The sequence below is a fragment of the Homo sapiens genome, chromosome 3 (assembly GCF_000001405.40).
Source record: "Homo sapiens chromosome 3, GRCh38.p14 Primary Assembly".
In the NCBI taxonomy this organism is placed as follows: Eukaryota; Metazoa; Chordata; class Mammalia; order Primates; family Hominidae; genus Homo; species Homo sapiens.
The window spans coordinates 61686335-61707688 of NC_000003.12; the positions used below are offsets into that span (position 1 = coordinate 61686335).

Genomic DNA, 21354 nt, shown 5'->3' on the forward strand with positions numbered 1-21354 from the left:
CCTCTGATACTTACCATTGTTCTCTGTGCCAGGGTTCATGTTAGAACTGGCCTGTGCCGTGAGTAGTTGGTGAGACTGGGGGAAATGAGTGGTCTTAGACGTCACTATTGGGGACTTTAAATGAGCACAGCTTCTGTGAAGGCGACTGGGCCATGTCCATCACAGTTAGATTTGCCTATACCCTTGGATCAGGAAACTCTGCCCCCAGGTGTGTGCCCCACAGATGTACTTGGCCACAGTGCAAAATGACTCATGTCAAGGTTATTCCTTGCATCAGTGTTTGGATTTTGAAAGGATTGGAAATAACCTGACAGCCCATTAATAGGGGCTGTTTTAATAAATTATACTATGCTAAATAATGGCATATGTGCAGATGTTACAATCAGAGAAGCATTGCCCTATGAACAGATACATATGTTTGTCTGTATATCGAAATCTCTATTTCCCTAGATAGCCTTGTTAATCAGGTGGGGGAAAAGCAGGGCGTACAACGGTATTTAGTTAAAGCTACTTTTTTTATGGGACACATACAGGATTATCTTTAGCATCATGGTATTAATGGTTGGTGTTGTCTTGAGAGGTATGGGGAAGAGGTGAGATAAGGAGTCCATGTTTTTATACTTTGACTTTGATTTATAGAATATATACATACATTATCAGTTCAGAAAATTAAATTTAATAAAGACATCCCCAAAACCAGCCAACCAAAAATGCATCAACCGTTGACCACTGGGACTAGCAAAGAGATCAGGTAGAGCTTACCAGTTAGACAATACCTACCCTGAAATGAAACCAAGTATCTGTTCACTTCCAGCTGACAGGAAAAGACGTAGGAAATCTTCACCAGATTTGAAGGAAATGTTTGGAATGGTTTGACTTAAACATCTTATTATCTGGCTTATTTGGAATTTTCTTTAGGGGGCCTTCAGTGACACCTCAAGTTGGTCCTTAGCCATCCACCCTGGTGGGTGCCCATAGATTCAGATAAGCAGTGGAGAGCATGTGTGCTGCACTAGCCCTGTTCAGGGTAATAGCCAGCATGTATTCATACAACACTGGTTAATGATTCTTCCCGGCAGTCCTACTAGGGACTCCACCTTTGTCAAGGCCGTAAATGGACTTTGGGGCTGTACATTAAGAGACCTGGCCTGACTTGATCTGGCTAAACATGGCTTTGGGACCCTCTTGAAGTTTCCAGTTGATATTTTTTATTCTTTTCAAACCAAATCACTGCAGTGAAAAGAAAACAAAAAAAGGAGTTTTTAAATTTATACAAAAGTATGAAAAAGAATGAGAAGTTAGGAAAGTGTGAATTATATTTTAAGTAAGGCTTTGTGGCTTTGTTGATCATGGAAATCTTTTTATTAACACATTAGACAAATTCTTTACATGCCAGTTTGCATTCACTTAAACATTTGTGGGGGTGGTGTGTAAAATGTGCAGCAATACCTGCTCCTTTTTGGGAAATCCATTTGTTAAATAGCCCTCAGAATATGACAGTTTTATAGTAGGATTATGACTTTTTTTTGTTTCCATGTCTGCTAAAAAGGCTAACAGAATAGGACAATTTAATCACATGCCATTATGTTCATAGGGGTTTGGGAAGCTCAGACATGTTTCTAGAAAAGGAATCGCGTACCCAGCTTTTCCAAGTTTCTTAGCAAAATTCGATAATTACTTGATTTGGAGATGTCCCCATTCAGCCCCTTCTTCTGAGGGCATCTGGCCTTCCTGAGTGTGGCTGACATCACTTTCATGACCTTGGCTCTGTTGAGGTGGTTGTCAGGGAAGGTGTGTTGCCAGAACTGTCCTGTCACTCTTCGACAGAGAGAGACAGAGAGACATTTCCTGGACTAATCCATGTTTCCAGCCAGATTTATATTATTTACAGGGTATTAGGCAAGGACCAGGATTTAGCCAGGTGTTGCCCTGGAGAATTGTTTCGGACCTCAAGTCAAAAAAAGGCTGCATGCTGACTAGCGGAGGAAACAGCTCCCCACGGGCCAGCCTAGACTCTGTATCCTGGCATTTGTCATCCCAGCTGGAGTTTTTTGAGGCATCGGAGCTAGAATAAAGCAGGAGCTCATCAGAGGCTCTCTTTTCTCAGTCGCCTCCATCTTTCCAGAGACTCAGAGGCCACCAGCTGTGGCAGCAGGTCTCAAGCTTTGTCGGTGATTAGTTGCACGGCGGGGAAGGCTCTTCGCATTTTCCTCTGTTCTGGGGCTCTCTGGTGGATTGGAGCAGGCAAATCGGGCTCCTCACTGAGCAGGATGCAGGCAAGTCAGAGTGAAAGAAAGGAGCCAGTATCCCCACCACCCGCTAGTGTTTTCCATACCAAAGGACTTAACGCTTATGTTTGCAAAATTCAATAGTCAGTACCCTTGTCAGCTGCTGCTTTAAATTCTGTGTCCTTTGCCTGTTTCTGGGTCATTGCCTAGTAAATGGTAAACATTGCCATATCCCAGCTTCCTTTTTCTGGGTTGCCTTGTGTGAGCCTTGTCAGTAGAAGAAGCTTAGATAGGGCGGCTTGACCTTGGCTGACTTGCCATATTCTTGAACTGTCCTGCCCTGCTTCTCAATGCATCAGGGAAAATATCCTAACATGTCTGGCGTGCCCTTTAACTTGACAGAGAGGGCAGAGGCTGAGGAAGTTTGGTGGTACGACTGCACTTGGTTAAGCAGCCAGTGCTGGCGAAACAGGCCTTACTTAGCCCAGGCATTCTGACTGCCATTTGAGGACTGTTTTTACTGTAATAATCCATCACTCTGGACTTTATGCTCTAGGAATGAAAATTGTATTTACTATTGGCCTAAGAAAAACATATTGCAATTCATATTTGAAGCTGCTTAGCAAAGATCCCTAACACCAGCCAGAAGTGATTTGGCTATTGGAATTACCTGTTTTGGAGAGTGATTCCTATAACTGCTTCCCTATCATCATCTGTAATGGTTGAAGCTATGTGTATACATTCACACGTTTACACACAAAACAAGATAATTTCTTTACTGGGTCTTAGCAAAAAGTCTAGAAGAATTTTCAATAAAACTGGATGCATATTTATGATTGTCTGACTTAAAATGTAGACTGTGTGGCATGTATGAATTTCACTTTGGAGGGAACAGAGTCTTGAGCAAGCACCTCAAATAAATACATAGGCCATTACTCTCTGCTATGGCAGCTGAAACTAAGAAACAGTGAGAGGGCTATGTGGCTGCTTATGTGGGAAGATTTAATTTCTGTTGTAGGATGCTGAGGACCTTGGAAATTGAGGCACTGAAGCTGAAGTGGCAAGGGCAAGTGTGAATTGCATCAGATCTTTTTCTCTCAGGGTAATTTCTTCATATCCCAGGTAAGGTAGCATTTGGATTTCTAGTCTTTATATTTATTGGTGGTGAGTAATTCTCCCCAAAAATGGAGGGGGAGAAACTAGTATGCAAATGATGACAAAATAGAAGAAATCTATCTCATTTTGCAGTGTTCTTATCCCATCATAAAAATTAGTTGATCAGATAAATTGAAGTTTTAACCTGATTCCATTTATTTCCTACTAGACGCATTTTGGAAATCTCAGTTTGTGTTCTGAAGATTTTCTAGCTAGAAAGTTTTAGTGGGGTTAGAAATAGTGTTCCTCTCAATTGCTTCTGAATGAAAGCATACTCCATTGGAAGGACCATCAGCAAGGGCCATACATTCTAACAAGTCTCATTGTTTTTCCCATGCTATTCTTCAGCTTCCTTTTTCTTTGGACACTGTCTCAACCATCCCCTGGGTTTGGTGATGCCAGACTTCCTTCTGGCATTATCCGCAACCGACAATGGACTTTACTTGTTACGACAATATCACCAGCTTTCATTGCATGCGGCAGATGGCCTGGAATGCAGTTTGTCACTATCACTTCTTGGAAATGCAGAGGCCTCCTGGTTCTTCAAGGCCACTAAGCCCAGGAAGGGAGCAAGTGTGAGATGGCAAAGACCCCCTAAGGAACAGCATCAGATCCCTTTCTGGGTGTTTGTTGCAGGGTGGCTCACTTGCTGCTTTTCTCCAGGATAAATGGCAATTGCTTGATGCTTGATAGGGACGTATTAAATACAACGGCTGTCTCAGGACCCTGTCTGCCTTGTTTTTCATCACCTGGACGTCTGATACATGCAAAGTGGAGGAATTACTGCAAAGAGTGGAAGACAGGTTAAACAAACATTCACCACAACTAACTGTTTAAGCTTAAGTCACTAAAACACTCATTGTGTTTTTGCTCTGAAGGTCCATGAAGGGATAGATTCGTCCATCCTCCTTCTCCGTCATCACACATCAAGGCCAGGATTGTGCCATTTATGGATTCCACATCCTAAGAGAAAACTGTTCACTCAGATGGTTTCTGGTAGTGACTCCTCTTCTCTTTGAAATGCCCTTCAAAGTATTTAGCCAGAAACAAAGCTTTTTGGTTTTTGGGCTTGTGTCAGGCTTTTGCTAGAGAGTGATTTTTTTTTTTCAAGGAAATTAATAGATGATACAGTCAATGCTAGACAATTTTAGATCTCAGAGCTGTCTTCCTTGAAAGGTACATTACTGTTTCTTTTACATCTCTGAGATGAGACTGCTCAGAGAATGATTGATTTTGGGGTGAATTGCTATGTTTTTACATAGACAAAATAAAACCACAGAATCCTTCAATAGAGGAAATAAAATATGGCACGCCATCAATGTGGAATATTAGGCACCCTCAAGTGTAAGTCTATGTATATATGACATGGAAAAATGTTTAAGATGTGGTTGGGTGACTTTAAAACAAGTTGCAGTTTGGGCACAGTGCCTCATGCCTTTAGTCCCAGCACTTTGAGAGGCTGAAGTGGGAGGATTGCTTGAACCCAGGAGTTTGAGACCACCCTGGGCAACATAGAGAGACCCCATCTCTACAAAAATAATTAGCTGGGTGTGGTGGCACATACCTGTAGTCCCATCTACTCTGGAGGCTGATACAAGAGGATCGCTTAAGCCCAGGACATAAAGGCTACAGTGAGTTGTGATCACACCACTGCACTCCAGCCTGGGAGACAGAGGGAGACCCTGTCTCAAACAAACAAAAAACAAGTTGCAGAACAATGTGCAAAATGGAGTGTGATCCTATTTGTGCTTCATATATATGAGGATCAGGACCATCCTAAATATGTATGTATATCTCTGTGTGTGTCTGTGTAATTGCTTAGAAAAATGACTAAAATGGTATGAATCAAACTGTGTTCCTTCAGGCAACACTAGGGGGAAGTGGACAGAGGGTGACCATTGCGTTTTGTGTACATCTGTGTATTGTCCTGATCTCATACAATGAGAAATATTTATACACTATGGATAAACAAATTTTGGAAAATATCCCAGCAACGTTAGTAATGCAACAGTGCTTTCCCTGGGGCCACCATTTTGGTTCTCACCAAGAACAGATGGTAGCATCAAGTATTTCAGTAAAATTTTAATATCATAAAAAGCATATGGGGCTTTCCTAAGGTCTGAGAGGCACAGTATAATCATGTTAAATAAAGAGGACTTACATTTAACCTTGGATTCATTAACAATTTATTGCTGGGAGGATAAAAAGGGGATGTTTACATCACACACGGGTCGAAGACAAATACATTTTCGGTTGCAGAGAGTATATAAGGCAAGTAGAATGAAGAATGAGTATTTCATGATACATTTTTTACTTTTATTAATTTTTGAGTACATTCCAGTGCTAAGCAGTGAATAGTATATGATACATAATGAATTTTCTTCTGCTCCTACGCAGAGTTTTCTCCTTAAGGATTCAGCTGCCCTTCAATAGGTGTGGTGTTAGTTAATGGTTTGATGAAGAGTTTTATGTTGCACGTAAGTTGCAAATAGCATTCCTTTTGTTTGGATGCCCAGTAGAATTGGACAAACCAGAGTTCAAATCTCCATGGCACAACTTAGTAGCAATACATCCTTGCATTCAACTTTGAGCTGGGGTTTTTCAGCTATAAAATGTAAATAATAAAATTACTTAACTCCATAGAGTTGATGTATTAAATGAAATAGTGTACAAAATTGATGTAAGTTACAGGTTGTGGCACATGTTGTTTGGTAGATATTAGCTGCTATTACTACATTTTACAGTTTGGAAATTTTCATGCGCGTCCGTGTGAAGAGACCACCAAACAGGCTTTGTGTGAGCAGCAAGGCTGTTTATTTCACCTGGGTACAGGCGGGCTGAGTCCGAAAAGAGAGTCAGCGAGGCGAGGTAGGGGTGGGGCCGTTTTATAGGATTTGGGTAGGTAAAGGAAAAACGGGGGTTGTTCTCTGGCAGGCAAGAGTGGGGGTCACAAGGTGCTCAGTAGGGGAGCTTTTGAGCCAGGATGAGCCAGGAGAAGGAATTTCACAAGATAATGTCATCAGTTAAGGCAGGAACAGGCCATTTTCATTTCTTTTGTGGTGGAATGTCATCAGTTAAGGCAGGAACCGGCCATCTGGATGTGTACGTGCAGGTCACAGGGGATATGATGGCTTAGCTTGGGCTCATAGGCCTGACAGAAATGAGCAGAATTGAAAGATTCATGACAAAAGTTGGCTACTTCTGTACATGCACCTATTAAGCTTTTTTTGGTATGTTGTACATTTTCTTCTTCAGGGTCTTCCCAGCCCTATTAGTAACAGTTGTTTTTATAGCAATTGGATAAGATATGAAACTAAGAACTTTATTATTAATTGGTTGCTATTCCTTGGAATAAAAATGAAAAAAAGATTAACAATGGAAGAATATTAAAAGTACAATTTGCCCATTCATTATATCAGATGTCTCAGTTTTATGGTGAGGTAGGCATCATATTAAGGTACAACTATTTAGCGAGATGTATAAATGATTAATATATGAGAAATTATGAATTTAATACCCGTCCAAAACTTGTTAGAATAAATGACTTTTATGTTCCCATTAGGTTTTGTGATGGGAAATAATATATTTTATGTAAGAGAAAATTCAGATGCTTCTACTTATTACCCATGAGGTGTCCGTGAACTTGGCACGATATTCCTTTTTTCTAATATATTCTGAACTCTCATGGTTAAATGCATAGGTAATGTGTCATAATTGAATACATGTTCTTATCAATAGTGTCTGTCAGCCAGTTTCCAGTAGATTCAGCAGACATTTTCTGCCTATTAGGGGGCTGGACTTGGTGCTGAGGAGTACCCAGGGAGGGTTAAGTTCTTGCCCTTGAAAGGTGTGCTCAGATACTCCAGTAAGAGGCAGGCATAATCTGCTGCAGAATAAAGGTGCACAAGGTGTGTGTGTTCAGGGCTGGGGAGGGAGAAGATGAAGACGTATTGAAATCTGACTCCAGGCTTGTGTGTGGAGAGGAATTAAGAGAAGCAAGGCTTTAGGCCGGGTGCAGCGGCTCACGCCTATAATTGCAGCATGTTTGGAGGCTGAGGTGGGCAGATTGCCTGAGCTCAGGAGTTCGAGACCATCCTGGGCAACACAGTGAAACCCCGTCTCTACTAAAAATATAAAAAAATTAGCCAGGCATGGCAGCGGGCGCTTGTAGTCCCAGCTACTCGGGAGGCTGAGGCAGGAGAATCGCTTGAACCCAGGAGGCAGAGGTTACAGTGAGCCGAGATCACGATACTGCACTCCAGCCTGGGTGACACAGTGAGACTCCATCTCCAAAAAAAAAAAAAAAAAAGAGAGAGAGAGAGAGAGGGAAGCAAGGCTTTAAAAAGTAGGTGATGTTAATGAGTTGAGTAGGGGATGAACCAGCTGGGCTTGAGGATCTACCATGCCATTTCAGAGACAGGGAACAGCATTTTGAATACAGGGAAGAATGCATGCTAAGACGTGGGTGCAAAAATGCCAATTAATTCTTTAGGGAATGACTAACTCTCTAACAGAGACAGAACTGGAATAAGGTAGACAGGCAAGAGGCCAGTTCATGAAGGGCCTTGGGTCTTTTAAAGACATTAAGAAAAAGATTTTTAAAAAGTCCCTTACATAGTTAAAACCACAGTGAGGTAACACTATCTCATGTTGATTGGCGAAGATCAAAATGTTTGATAAAATACCAAACTGGTATGGGTATGAATAAAAGTACTCTATTACCTACCTACTCCTAGACTGCAACTGTGTCAGTACGAACATGCATCTGGTTGAGAACCTGTCGGTTTCCACAGAAAGTAAAAATACGCATACTTTCTGACTCAGTGATCCCACTTCTGAGAAATTATCCCATGGAAAAACTGCATATCTCTACCAAGGTTTATGTACTAAGATAGTTATTGCAGCAACGATTGGAATAGCATGAAACTTAAAACATCCTAGATATCCATAATTAGGGAATTTCAAATTGTGATATATTTGTGCAGTGGGGCACGATGTAGCCATTTATAAGAAAGGAAGCTCTGCATGTATTGATTTAGAATGATTTTCCATCTATATACTGAGTGAAAAGAGGCTATGTGCAGAATTTGTACGGTGTTCTGTTTAAGATTGTGGGAGTGAGGAACATGCTATTCATTCTCATTCTCTCTCTCTCACTCTCACCCTCACTCTCTCTCATTCACTCACACATACTGTCTTTGGAAGGATATGGAAGAACTGTTACCAAAAGTAGCTTCTGGGGAGGAGACCTACTTTTCACTGCGTACTCTTTTGAACTGTTTGGCTTTTTTTCTTTTTCTTTTTTTTTTTGAGACAGAGTTTTGCTCTTGTCATCCAGGCTGGAGTGCAATGGCGCGATAGTGGCTCACTGCAACCTCCGCCTCCCGGGTTCAAGTGATTCTCCTGCCTCAGCCTCCTGAGTAGCTGGGATTACAGGCGCCTGCTACCACGCCCAGTTAATTTTTGTATTTTTAGGAGAGACAGGATTTCACCATGTTGCCAAGGCTGGTCTCGAACTCCCGACCTCGGGTGATCCACCCACCTTGGCCTTCCAAAGTGCTGGGATTACAAGTGTGAGCCACCGCGCCTGGCGTGTTTGGCTTTTTATTGCAAGGTCCTCCATTTTTTCAAAATTTGGAAATAGGAGTTCCTGCATTGGCTTGAGGCTCCTGATGTCTTAAGAGCATTGAAATGGGTGGACCACCATTGGTTAGGGTTATGGGTAGGGTCCTGAAAGGCTTAATGTAGTAGTTTCTAGGTCTCAATTTTCTCTCTATGAGAACAAGTTCCGTTGACTAAAGGATTTCTGTTCCCTTTCTACCTCTGATATCCAGTCCCTTGCAGGGTCCAACTTCATACACCTCGGCATTTTAGGAATTAATTCGGGATTTTACAGTTTGGCTTGATTTGATTTTATTTTGTTTTTTGATTTTTGACTATTCACAAGATTTTTAAAAATGTCATACATTTCCGTTGAAGATATGATGAGTTCTACAGCTAGTATGACATGTTCCAGGTTGCAGTGGTGTAGTTCAAGTTTTATGTTTGTTTGGTTTTAATTTTATTGTTTTTGCCAAGTGAACAATAGTTCGAATCAAGGATGCTAATTATATGATGTACAGAATTAATCAATTTTGAGATTAAAACACTACTGTATACTATATACTAAATATACATTAATGTTAATAAATACATCCCTAGTTCAAAAATGTTAGAATGAGTGAATGAGTATGTTGGCAAGAGGGATGGAGTGAGATAGGGATTTAAGGATGTGTTTTGACAACATTCTGTGGCACAGTCAACATGAGGTTGAGCTGATTGGGATGTAACTACATGTTCTTAAAATGAAGACTTTGAGGGTGTTGTTATGAGAACAAACCAAAAATGCGGTTCTTCCATGCACTTGTAGTACCCCAAAATTCCCCCAATGCTTGTATGTTTGTGCTATTTTGTTGTTGTTGCAAATTGATACGAGTACATATCTATTAAAAAATTCTAGCCAGGCCGGGCGCGGTGACTCACGCCTATAATCCTAGCACTGTGAGTGGCTGAGGTGCGTGGTTCGCCTGAGGCCAGGAGTTCGAGACCGGTCTGACCAACATGGGGAAACCCTGTCTCTACTAAAAATACAAAAATTAGCCAGGTGTGGTGGCAGGCGCCTGTAATCCCAGCTACTTGGGAGGCTGAGGCAAGAGAATTGCTTGAACCCAGGAGGCGAAGGTTGCATTGAGCTGAGATCACACCATTGCACTCCATCCTGGGCGACAAGAGTGGGATTCCGTCTCAAAAACAAACAAACAAACAAATTCTAGCCACATGCTTATTTGCAATGTGAGCCCACATTTGGTTTTATAATCCTTTCTCACTGATGGACTGATGGACTACATGAATACACTTTCTTTTGTATTCATACTGGCTGGGTACTTCAGTGGGTAGGTGCATGGAGGAGCAGGTAACCGGATCTGAGAATTAGTCTTTGCCGGGGAAGCGACTAGAGCCCTAGCTTTTTTCAATGGAGAAATCCCTTTTCTGGCTTTAGCCAGTGTAGGGTAGACTGCCACAAGGAGCTATGATAACTTACCATACGTATTTTTCATGCTTCAATCTGGTGATGGTTGATCTTCGAGTCAGACTGGGGTTTAAATATTGCCTTCTCCACTGATAACGGTCTTGTGACCTGAAAGTCTTTTAAACTTTCTGAGCTTTAAATTTTTCCTCTACTCAGTGGGGATGATGACAGAGTCTCTCTCCTGGAGTTAGTTATTGGGAAGATTGATTTTGATGGAATTCAGGACATACTACTCCAAAATATGGCACCTTGGAATTTGAGAAAACAGCAGAAGCAGAAAGGTCACTTTTACCTTCCCTGACCCTTCTCCCCTGAGGCAGGTTATAAAACCTAGGAGGGCCACTCTCTGGCTTTCTCCTGCTTTTCTTCACTGAAGTAGGTCCTAAGACCCTCATTCCAGAGGCGCCTCCCTCTACCCTGAGAAAAGAGGCATCCTTATCACTGAGGTCAGAGAGATGCTGTTGGGGCTCAGAGAACAATACTCCGAAGTCTCATACTTCGGCATGCTGAGTACTTTTGAATTAAAGAAAATTGGAAGGGCTTCACAACTGCCCCAGAAGCAAGGATTTGGGAACTTTCTGTTGTACTCCCTTCGTCCCCCAGGGTCTCTCTGGAATTCCCCATATCTGACTTAGAAAGCTTCTTACAAAATAAATGCAATGGTCTTAGAAGTCTCATTAAATAACCAGGCACGATTAACCATCAGAGAAGAGAAAAGACTAAAAGTAGTCACCATGCCCAGACATGTTTTTCATCTTTTCTTCTGAAGGCAGCTTTGAGGGATTACCTGGAAGACTTTATCTGCATAATAAGATAACCTTTGGTAACAGTGCAGTTCTGCTCCTTACCTTCCAGTATTCAGTCCCATTCAGTTTCCAAAGAATCACTTATAAGCTATTGTCTGTCCTTTGGGCTCATTCATTCCCCCCTAAAAATCATTTATTGCTCCTTCAAAATTGCCCACAGCCCCCCACTTCCCTTTCCCCTATGAAAAGGGTAGTTACGCCTCAACCATTTGGCCCTTCTTTGAGTCTCATATTTTGCATGACTCCTGTACTTATGCCTGTTATTCTGTCTGTTGTCAGTTTGAGCACACATAAACATTCAGAGGGAGAGGGAAAATTCTTTTTATCCCTACAACACCAAGAAGAATTTGAACAAACAGTCCTTGCTAATTTCCCCTGCGTTTATTCCCATTAGACCATATTCTTTTATCCTGTAATTGTATTTCTCCGTGACTCTTCATTCTTCATCAAACATAGGCATAAAAATACATAAGGTTACCTATTTCTTAGAGTCTTCATTTCCAAATGAAGCTTCCCGTGTCACATAAAACTTACATTAAATAAATATCTATGCTTTTCTCTTGTTAATCTGCCTTTTGTTATAGGGGCCTCAACCATGAACTTAGGTTGGGAAGGAAAGAGATTTCTTTTTCCCTACAATTTGATATAAAGTCTCCATGGCACATAAGAGATAGTCAGTTAATGTTGCTTATCATCATCATCATTTTTTTCTGGAAAGGGCCACATAGAACATGTTTTAGGCTTTGCAGGTCATACCTTGTCTGTCAAAACTATTCAACACTGCCCTTGTAGCAGGCAAGCAGACATAGATAATGCATAAGTGAATGGGTGTGGCTTTGTTCCAATAAAACTTTATTTACATAAACAGGCAGGCTGGATTTGGCCTGAAGATAGTATGTGAACCACTGTAGCTGTGTGTGTCAATACAGCCTTACTTACAAAACCAGGCAGGATAGATTTGGCCCATGGGACATAGTTGGCTAATCCTTACGTAGCAGTGGTTCTGAAACCTTTTAATTTCAGATCTCCTTTATACTCTTAAGAATTATTGAATAGGACCTGAAAGAGGTTTTGTTTATGTGGATCATATCTGTGGATATTTACTGTTCTAAAAATTTTAACTGACAAATTAAAAAAACTTAATTCATTTTAAATAACTAATACAACCATAGCATGTTAACATAAATAACACATTTTTATAAAAGAATATATGTGGCACATATACACCATGGAATACTATGCAGCCATAAAAAATGATGAGTTCATGTCCTTTGTAGGGACATGGATGAAACTGGAAACCATCATTCTCAGCAAACTATCGCAAGGACAAAAAACCAAACACTGCATGCTCTCACTCATAGGTGGGAAATTGAACAATGAGAACACATGGACACAGGAAGGGGAACATCACACACCAGGGACTGCTGTGGGGTGGGGGGAGCGGGGAGGGATAGCATTAGGAGATACACCTAATGTTAAATCACGAGTTAATGGGTGCAGCACAGCAACATGGCACATGTATACATATGTAACAAACCTGCATGTTGTGCACATGTACCCTAAAACTTAAAGTGTAATAATAACAAAATTAAAAAAAATTATTTTTCAGATGAGATCGGGCGCGTTCAGGGTGGTATGGCCGTAGGAAAAAAAAAATTATTTTTCAAAACAAATTTTAGTTGGAAGAGTGGCATTGCTTTATACTTTTGCAAATCTTTTTAATGTCTGCCTCAGCAGAAGACAGCTGGATTCTCCTAACTGCTTTTGCATTCAATCTGTTGTGATATTATAAGTCATATTGTCTCCTGAAAACTCCCTTGCACCTCCTGAAAGTATCTTGGGGACCCACAGGGGTCTTTGGACCACAGTTTGAGAATCTATGTCCTACAGACATCATTAAGGGAAATTAAGTATTACCTTGTAAATGGCAGCTGCTTTTACCTATTATTGAGAGTTTCTTTGTCATCTTTTTTTCTGAGCTAAAAGTGAACATTTCAGTGTCTGTTCCTTCCCCCTGCTGTAGAAGGCATATTTAGTCATGTGGTAGGTGTTTATGAAAGCAGGTTTGCTTTATTTTCTGAAATGATTGTCACCTTGGCTTGAATTGTCTGCTGCTGCATCACAATAGAGTTTTACTACTGTGGAGAAACAAAAGCCAGGAGATAGTCTGAATTCATTGGAGTAAAAGGGAACAAAAGAAGCTAGCTTCAGAGCAGGAAAATGCCTGTGATGACAAAGAAGCCTAAAAGAATGATTTGCATAAAACTGAAACACTTGAAAAGCTTCAAGATAATAAGGTTAAATACAAAAGGAGACTCAACCTCAGAGTGGCTGCTTTTGAAATAAGTTTTCTAGAGGGTTTTCAAGAACAAATATTTCCTACTTAAGTTTTGAGGGCCCTTCAAGTTTAGGTCAGTGATATCTGGGATTCTGGGTTCTTGGCAGTGGTGAGGGGGTCTGTGTGGTCCTCTTGGAATTGATCCTTATATAGTAAATGGGTGGCTCTGAAAATCTGAGGAGGTTTCATGCCCAAAGTCTCCTTATTCTTCTCTGTACCCCCTAAGGATTGCCATATGCTGCTAAAACTTGGCTTTTCAACCAAGAAATAAGTCAACTCTCACATTGCTAGAACGATGCTGTGGGATCCTCATATGAACCTATATATGTGAGATTTTTCTCATAAAGGCAAAATTATTTCATCCAGATCTGTTTTCTTCTTTGATACCTGCAAGTAAATAGATTGGGGGATAAAGCTGCAAATAAGCTGAGAATGTTCCACAGTAAGATTTCTCACAGTCCTGACTAGATAGAAATGAATATTAAAGTAATTCAGCACAGTACTAAAAGCTTGTACCTAATTGCCTTTTCTTTATATTTAGCTTAACTTTAAAGGAAATTTATAACTAAATTGGGCTCAGTGAATTCCCTGGTTGCCTACTTTTATTACCCATTATAACATATTTCTGTTTAATTTACCTCTTCCAGCCGTGATACTTCAGTGAAGATATGAGTATGTATTTGGAAGATGGTGAAGTGAACTTGACTGTTTTGGGAGGCTCAACTCCAGGGCTTCTCAAAAACAACAGCAATGTCAAGGAAACAATTTTAGCCTTGTTCCAGAATATTCACATTTTGGGTTTTCTCTTCTGAATGTAGAAGGAAAAATTCCCCTATTTTTTTCACACTCATGTTCAGCTCTGTCATTTTCATTCTGGGTATACATCCCTTTCCCATTTATTACATCTGTTACTTTTATACTACACAGGAAATACATGTAAAACATCCTACCCACTCTGATAGAAACAAATGTGCATCCCTGTCATTAAAGCTACACCTGTAAGCTTTGCCCCTATCCGGGTCAAAAGGCCCTATCATGTAAGGAATCCCAGCAACTAGCAAGGAAGTGAAGACAGTCTAGGAGGGAAAGACTCCTGGTTTTCTGGAAACCTATGCAGTGGGAGCTTTAATAGTTGCCCTCAATCTCCCTGCCCTCCTTGCTTGCCCCTTTGTTCTGTTTAAGGCTAGCTGCATATTTCTTCTTGTGTTTTCACGGAGTAGTCCACCATCACACCATATGGGCTTTTTCCTGTGGTGATTAATTAGGTTGCATGCTGAGCTCTCTGATTCTTTGGGGACTGTGTTTCCTCATGGTCTTGTCAGAACATGCAGAATAGCTGTGTGATACTTCTCACATTTGCACCCACTGCTAACAAGGTATCTGACAACTCCTCAATATCATGTTGGATGCAAGGCACAGGATGCTGCTGGGCTAGTGCTGTTTAATTTTCAGATCTCTGGTAGCTATGAGTTTGAGGAGGCTCGGGTCACATTTTCTTATTTATGTTTCATCTCTACTTTCATATGATTATAATAGTAATATTTGAAAACTTTTTGCATAAAGGCAGAAGAGGAAAAAACCCATATTTAGTGACTAATTTTTCTACAGTATAATAATGAAAAGAAGTGAGTGCAGAAACATTTCTAACAATTGTTATAATAATGATGGTGATAGAAATAATTGAAGGCTGGGCACAGTGGCTCACACCTGTGATCCCAGTAGTTTGGGAGGCCAAGGTGGGTGGATCCCTTGAGCCCAAGAGTTCAGGACCAGCCTGGCAACATGGCGAAACCTCACCTCTACTAAAAATAAAAAAATTATCCAGGTGTCGTGTCACGTGACTGTCATCTGAGCTACTCAGGAAGCTGAGGTGGGAGGATCAGTTGAGCCCCCAGGAGGTCGAGACTGAAGGGAGTGCCACTGTACTCAGCCTGGGTGACAGAGCCAAGCCCTGTCTAAAAAAGAGAGAGAGAGGGAAGAGAAAGAGGAAGGAGAGGGAGGAAGGAGGAAGGAAGGAAAGAAAAAAGGAAAAAAGTAGCCTGTGTGCTTTCTTTTCTTTATTTTTTGAGACAGGGTCTCACTCTGTTGCCCAGGCTGGAGTGCAGTGGCGCGATCTCGGCTCACTGCAACCTCAGCCTTCTGGGTTCAAGTGATTCTCCTGCCTCAGCCTCTGGGGTAGCTAGGAGTATAGGCGAGCACCACCACACCTGGATAATGTTTGTATTTTTAGGAGAGACAGGGTTTTGCCATGTTGGCCAGGCTGTTCTTGAACTGCTGGCCTCAAGTGATCTACCCACCTCGGCCTCCCAAAGTGCTGGGATTACAGGCGTGAGCCACCGCGTCTGGCCATGAATAGTAGCCTGTGTGCTTTGATGCATCCTGCTAAGACTTTACCCATCCTTACCTTTTAAAATATTGACCCTAACATGCTGAGAATAGGAACTGTTACTTTCTTCATTTTAGAGAAGAGGATTTTGAGGCCCAGGAAATAAAGTAACTGACTGTAAGTCCCTCTTAGGGAGAGTTACATTTTTACAAAACTTTTCATTAAACAATTAAAAAAATTTAGTTTGAGTTAAAACGTTTATACACACGTGTACACACACACACAGGCACAGTAAATTGTACAAATCTGAAGTATGTGGCTCAGTGTGTTTCTATAGGTGTGTTACTGCTTTCACCTGAGTGGCTGCCTTGCAGATCAAGATGGAATACTTTCTAGCATTCCAGGCACATCTGTCATTTTTCCCAACCCCCCACCAGGTAACCACTATTGTATTTCCACTCACCATACAGATAGATTTGCCCACATAACTTAGGGAACTCTTTTGGGTCTGTCTGCTTTTGCTCAACATAATGTCTATGAAATTCACACGTGATGTTGTGCGGTACTTACTCTTTAGTTATTGATTATACAACTATACAACAGTTTGCCAGTTTTCTTCTTGTTAGACCTTTTGAGTTCTTTCTAGTTTTAGGCTTTCATGAGTAAAGCTGTAAAGAGCAATCTTGTAAATGCCTGTTGGTGCACATTTGTATGCAGTTCCCTCTGGTGCCTACCATAAGGGATAAGGTTAAATGTAATTCATACGGTGGGTGCAGAATTTGCATTTGAACCTTGATTCTCTATAGGCAGAGCCTTGGCTCGTTACCACTACCCTCTGCTGCTGCCTGTAATTTTAAAGCCTGTATTTCTCCCCAGGTAAGGAAGTTGAATCTTTTTTTTTTTTTTCCCCCTGTATGAAAGTTCAGTGGACTGGCACTTTAAGATGGTTCTTAGCAGCTTGTGTTTGCCCCACTTATATAGGTGCCACACCATTAAACTGCCTATCATTTTCCGACTGATGCCTTTCTGGAAAATAGATAAAGGACATCAGAAGAATGCATCTTATCAGTATTGATTTAGCCGAAAGGGTTGTAAAGAAATCAGTTACAGTAATGTCAAATTTCATAAGATTGGTTTTGAGAGAGTAGCTGTGTCAACTAGGCTGACATTTTTTCTCTTTTGGCTTTATTTCGTAGTATGGGCATTAATGGTGGAGTGATCCAGATTTGGAAACCAAAAATGGTATTTCTAAGGCATTCCACAGGGCTGGGGGAGTTGATGCTGTATCTTTTCATGCTCCCTTGGTGCTAACTGGCTGTATGGCCTTGGGAAGGCCACTTAGTTTCTCCTGCCTCGCTCATTTGTAAAGTGGGGGGCATAGGATTGTATCAGTGAAACTTCACCTTTTCTTGGTAATCTGATGGATGACCCTCTCCTTTGAAAAACAAACACAAATCTGTGTAAATTTCAAACCCATTTCATATGGGCTTGTTGATACCTGTTAGCTCGTGATTTCTTAATTATAAAGGAAATTCCCAATTCTATTATTAATGAAAGTTCAGCTCTCTGCATTTTGGAGAAGTCTTTTATTATACCAGGTTTATTGTTCTGGACGGCAATATATAGCATTGTAGCTAAAATGAAAATGATACTCCATGGTCTACCTGCAACAAAAGTGAGCTGGATATACTATTGATCACACTTTAAATAACTTATCTTTGTGGACTGCCACTCTGGGCAGCCTTGTGCTGTGAGGGTAGAGAGGTAAACAAGTCATACTCCAGCTCTACCCCCATAGGATTTACAGTAGGGATAGGATCTGATTTGGTGAATTACTATGGAGAGGAGAGGCACAAATTGGTTGTCTGCAAGGCCAGGTAGTATATAAGGAGAGGCACAAATTGGTTGTCTGGGAGGCCAAGTTCTGGAGGTAGACGGCCAGGTTTTTGTGGGCCAGTTACTAAAAACTGTACTTCAGTTTGTCCAGCTGTAAAAAGGGTATAGTAACTGTACCTACCATTTAGGATTGTTGGAGCTTTAAATGAGTCCATGCAGGGTTTCTTGGCTTGGGCACTATTGGACACTTTGGGCCAGATAATTGCTGTGCATTGTAGGGTGTTAAGCATTTGTAAAATGGGGAGCATAGGATTACATCAAGGATTCTTCACCTTTTCTTGGTAATCTGTTGGATGACCCTCTTCTTTGAAAAACAAATACAAATTTGTGTCAGTTTGGCCTCTGTTCACTAGATAGCTCCAGTGTGGTAATAAAAAATGTCTCCAGGTATTGCCAGATGTCCCCTGGAGGGGCAAAATCACCCCCCACCCACCCCACCTTGACTTTGAGAGCCACTAGTCTTATGTTAAATTCTCTTCTAAATGCTATGGTAAAAACACCTGGTGGCTGTTGCCTTAAAGAAAAACTCCTCTGAGAAAGCCATAATTCCCTGCCTAGTGCCCCACTGATGGAAACAAAAATAGAAAGCTAACAAAGCCCTGGTAGCAAAGGTCTGTTTGTTCCCATTCCCCTGCTTACTGAATTATTGATATACTTTCTGAGATGAACTGCATTTGTTCAGATAGGATTAATAGCCACCACCTTCCTGAAGAACAGTAGCTTCTGCCTGGCCCCCGCCCCTGGCCCTTGCAATTTGACAGTTTCTGCTACCTGCTCATTTGCAGCTCAGCTTCCCTGGCTTCCTGCAAGTAGGTCCTTGCTGAGAGCAGACCTGTTAAATCATGTTAAAGCCAGGCAGCTCCTGGGAGAACCCCAGCCTGCTAGAGGTGTGAACACAGGTGCTGGACAGTGAGCTTAGCTGCCTGGGATAAAAAAACACATGCACTGAAGAGCTTTGGGTGGCTGAGCCCCAGGTATTTGCTTATCACCTGTTAATGACCACATACCCCATAGGCATCCACCACGAAGGGGCTCTTGGGGCACCTGAGAGTTGAAATTAAGTTAGTGAAGATGCCTGCGCTGGGTGTGAGGAACAAGTGGAAATTACAGTTCTGAAAAGGCACTTGGAAAGCAGGGAGCAGAATACCAGTATCTGATGGGTTTTGTTTGTTGGGAGAGGGAGTTGGAGGGTGGGAGAATGGGTAGATTCTGATTCTTCTTTTATTCTCCATTATTTGCTCAAGGCTGCTATTTTGTCAGGGGTTTCAGGCTTTGGATTTTGTGGACCAGTTTAAAACTGGAGGCCTGCTGTAAAGTAGCTAAATAACTTTTAAGTTTGTCCAATAGAGATGTTTAAAGAAAAAAAAAATACTATTTACTGTCGCCATCACCGCATCAAAGAAAGGATGCTTTGTCACCAAAGGAGTAGGAGGTGTATAACTGTGCAATAAAGAAGAGTCATTGATGTTAAATGAATCAGGTGTTATGGGCCTTATTCTTGGTTATTTTACCAGGACCCGGGAACGATGTCATCATAGGCTGGTCCATTTGTTTCACTGCACATAGTAGGGATTAAATGCTTATTACTGCTTAGATGACTGAATTAATGAACAGTGGTACCCCGTATTCATCATTCTTGGGGAGGACTGATGCTTGAGCAGAGGCCGTGAGGTGCCCTCTTCAATGGCACCCATCTTCAATTCTTCCTTTTTATCTTTTGCTTTTGACCTTTCCTGAAGTGGCTGAAGATTGTAGCAATACACAAGCATACTCCGATTTCCCCTAAGATGTTGTGCCTCCCATCTGCTTCTTGTTTCATATTGTTCTGTTTTCATGTGCCCTAAGGGACAGTTATGTTGTATAAAGAGCAAGTCCCCCAAGTGTCCTCCCCACTTCGGGTCTGCAGAAAAATGATTGATTATGAGGAATGTGATTTCAGTAATGCAGGCAGGATTAAATGCTTGCCATCTATCGACACTTTGCAGTGCCTTAAAGAGAGCTTTTAAAATTTTGGGCTATCACTAAAAAAAGAAAAACCCAGAAATACCCTGGGGGGGAAAAAAAAAAGAACCTGGGAAAATGTACAGAATACAACTGGGAGCCGTCCCATTGAGTAAGTGCCCAATGTGAGCTGCATCTGCAACTTAAAGCAACACTCTGACCTATTTCTCTTACTAATAATTGGAACATATATAGTGAGATAATATCTGTAAAGGAAGCTGTATTTTTTTTTTTATAACATGTATAAAGCTAACAGCCCAAATTCCTTGCTTTGGAGAATTGCAGAAATGACATTAACTCATTTTCTTTCTTTGATTTTTATCTGAATGTGCAAGTAATTTTTTTTTTTTTTTTTTCGAGATGAAGTCTCGCTCTTGTCCCCCAGGCTGAAATGCAATGGCACAATCTTGGCTCACTGCCACCTCCGCCTCCGGGGTTCAAGCGATTCTCTTGCCTCAGCCTCCCGAGTAGCTGGAATTACAGGCGCTACCACGCCCAGCTAATTTTTGTATTTTTAGTAGAGATGGGGTTTCACCATGTTGGCCAGGCTGGTCTCGAACTCCTGACCTCAGGTGATCCACCCGCCTCAGCCTCCCAAAGTGTTGGGATTACAGGGGTGAGCCACTGTGCCCGGCCAGTATTATTATTATTATTATTTTTAACTAGAAAGCAATATATGAATACATTGAAGTTTGAAAAAACTTAAAAATACATGAAACATGCTTAACCTACCCCTCCTAGTTCCAGTTTCCTCTCAGAGATAACTGCTGTGAATTTTATACATTTACTGTGCATTTACATATGGGGAAATACCTAATTTTCATGTTCCATGAATGGTATTTTCATATTATTAGCCTATTCTTTTTTCTACTTAATATCTCTTAGAAGTCTATACAGGTCATTCCATAGATAGTGTCTTTATTGTTGTTATAATAACTGCTGCATAGTTTTCCATAGTATAAATATTTCATAGTTTATGGAGTATGTAGCTGTTCATGGTTGTGTTCTATTACAAATAATGCTGAAGTGAAAAAAGTAGCATATGCATCCTCATGCATATATGCGTTTTTACCTATGATTAAATGCACAGAAGTTTAGTTAGTATTTGTATTCATCAGTGTTCTCCAGAGAAATAGAACCAACGGGATCTATATGGAGAGAAAGATTTATTATAACAAATTGGCTCATCGGATTATGGGGGGTGACAAGTTCCAAGATCTGCCTGTTGGCCAGCTGGAGACCCAGGAGAGCCAATGGTGTAGATCTAGTTCAAGGCCAGCAGGCTGAAGACCCAGGAAGAGCTGATTTTTTTTCTATTTCAGTCCAAAGGCAAGAAACAAATGTGGCCCTAGCTTTAAGGCAGTCAGGCAGGAGGAATTACCTCTTGTTAGCAGGGAAGGTTAGACTTTGTATTCTGTTCAGGCCTTCAGCTGATTAGGTGATCCCACCCACATTAGGGAGGGCAATGTGCTTTTTACTCAGTCTATCAATTCAAATGTTAATCTCATCCAAAACACCCTCCAGGGCATACCCAG

The 21354-nt window shown here is 41.2% G+C and overlaps 1 protein-coding gene and 1 long non-coding RNA gene across 7 annotated transcripts in view, besides 11 other annotated features; both read left to right on the forward strand.

The window, feature by feature from the left end:
* Positions 1 to 269: part of an enhancer, noted in NCBI's record as "H3K4me1 hESC enhancer chr3:61671542-61672277 (GRCh37/hg19 assembly coordinates)", that runs on past the window's edge. NCBI's record gives its function as "activates a minimal SCP1, AML or CMV promoter by ChIP-STARR-seq in primed H9 embryonic stem cells {active_cell/tissue: H9 hESC(primed)}" and the evidence as "EXISTENCE:reporter gene assay evidence [ECO:0000049][PMID:30033119]".
* Positions 1 to 5550, forward strand: part of LOC124906245 (uncharacterized) — a 32384-nt gene extending 26834 nt beyond the window's left edge. The window contains exons 1-2 of the long non-coding RNA XR_007095942.1: positions 1 to 3350; positions 3732 to 5550. The exon at positions 1 to 3350 is cut by the window's left edge and continues 26834 nt beyond it. This is a non-coding gene — a long non-coding RNA (uncharacterized LOC124906245). The remainder of the gene's footprint in view (positions 3351 to 3731) is intronic.
* The window catches only part of PTPRG (protein tyrosine phosphatase receptor type G), a 736039-nt gene that overhangs the window by 124764 nt on the left and 589921 nt on the right, over positions 1 to 21354 (forward strand). The window lies entirely within an intron of this gene.
* Positions 1803 to 2436: an enhancer, noted in NCBI's record as "OCT4-NANOG-H3K27ac hESC enhancer chr3:61673811-61674444 (GRCh37/hg19 assembly coordinates)". NCBI's record gives its function as "activates a minimal SCP1, AML or CMV promoter by ChIP-STARR-seq in naive and primed H9 embryonic stem cells {active_cell/tissue: H9 hESC(naive and primed)}" and the evidence as "EXISTENCE:reporter gene assay evidence [ECO:0000049][PMID:30033119]".
* Positions 4009 to 4548: an enhancer, noted in NCBI's record as "H3K27ac-H3K4me1 hESC enhancer chr3:61676017-61676556 (GRCh37/hg19 assembly coordinates)". NCBI's record gives its function as "activates a minimal SCP1, AML or CMV promoter by ChIP-STARR-seq in naive H9 embryonic stem cells {active_cell/tissue: H9 hESC(naive)}" and the evidence as "EXISTENCE:reporter gene assay evidence [ECO:0000049][PMID:30033119]".
* Positions 5816 to 6316: an enhancer, noted in NCBI's record as "OCT4-NANOG-H3K27ac hESC enhancer chr3:61677824-61678324 (GRCh37/hg19 assembly coordinates)". NCBI's record gives its function as "activates a minimal SCP1, AML or CMV promoter by ChIP-STARR-seq in naive and primed H9 embryonic stem cells {active_cell/tissue: H9 hESC(naive and primed)}" and the evidence as "EXISTENCE:reporter gene assay evidence [ECO:0000049][PMID:30033119]".
* Positions 6317 to 6817: an enhancer, noted in NCBI's record as "OCT4-NANOG-H3K27ac hESC enhancer chr3:61678325-61678825 (GRCh37/hg19 assembly coordinates)". NCBI's record gives its function as "activates a minimal SCP1, AML or CMV promoter by ChIP-STARR-seq in naive H9 embryonic stem cells {active_cell/tissue: H9 hESC(naive)}" and the evidence as "EXISTENCE:reporter gene assay evidence [ECO:0000049][PMID:30033119]".
* Positions 6917 to 7465: an enhancer, noted in NCBI's record as "H3K27ac-H3K4me1 hESC enhancer chr3:61678925-61679473 (GRCh37/hg19 assembly coordinates)". NCBI's record gives its function as "activates a minimal SCP1, AML or CMV promoter by ChIP-STARR-seq in primed H9 embryonic stem cells {active_cell/tissue: H9 hESC(primed)}" and the evidence as "EXISTENCE:reporter gene assay evidence [ECO:0000049][PMID:30033119]".
* Positions 8885 to 9385: an enhancer, noted in NCBI's record as "H3K4me1 hESC enhancer chr3:61680893-61681393 (GRCh37/hg19 assembly coordinates)". NCBI's record gives its function as "activates a minimal SCP1, AML or CMV promoter by ChIP-STARR-seq in primed H9 embryonic stem cells {active_cell/tissue: H9 hESC(primed)}" and the evidence as "EXISTENCE:reporter gene assay evidence [ECO:0000049][PMID:30033119]".
* Positions 13040 to 13935: an enhancer, noted in NCBI's record as "OCT4-NANOG-H3K27ac hESC enhancer chr3:61685048-61685943 (GRCh37/hg19 assembly coordinates)". NCBI's record gives its function as "activates a minimal SCP1, AML or CMV promoter by ChIP-STARR-seq in naive and primed H9 embryonic stem cells {active_cell/tissue: H9 hESC(naive and primed)}" and the evidence as "EXISTENCE:reporter gene assay evidence [ECO:0000049][PMID:30033119]".
* Positions 14831 to 15725: an enhancer, noted in NCBI's record as "NANOG-H3K27ac-H3K4me1 hESC enhancer chr3:61686839-61687733 (GRCh37/hg19 assembly coordinates)". NCBI's record gives its function as "activates a minimal SCP1, AML or CMV promoter by ChIP-STARR-seq in naive H9 embryonic stem cells {active_cell/tissue: H9 hESC(naive)}" and the evidence as "EXISTENCE:reporter gene assay evidence [ECO:0000049][PMID:30033119]".
* Positions 17945 to 18672: an enhancer, noted in NCBI's record as "H3K27ac-H3K4me1 hESC enhancer chr3:61689953-61690680 (GRCh37/hg19 assembly coordinates)". NCBI's record gives its function as "activates a minimal SCP1, AML or CMV promoter by ChIP-STARR-seq in primed H9 embryonic stem cells {active_cell/tissue: H9 hESC(primed)}" and the evidence as "EXISTENCE:reporter gene assay evidence [ECO:0000049][PMID:30033119]".
* Positions 18673 to 19400: an enhancer, noted in NCBI's record as "H3K27ac-H3K4me1 hESC enhancer chr3:61690681-61691408 (GRCh37/hg19 assembly coordinates)". NCBI's record gives its function as "activates a minimal SCP1, AML or CMV promoter by ChIP-STARR-seq in primed H9 embryonic stem cells {active_cell/tissue: H9 hESC(primed)}" and the evidence as "EXISTENCE:reporter gene assay evidence [ECO:0000049][PMID:30033119]".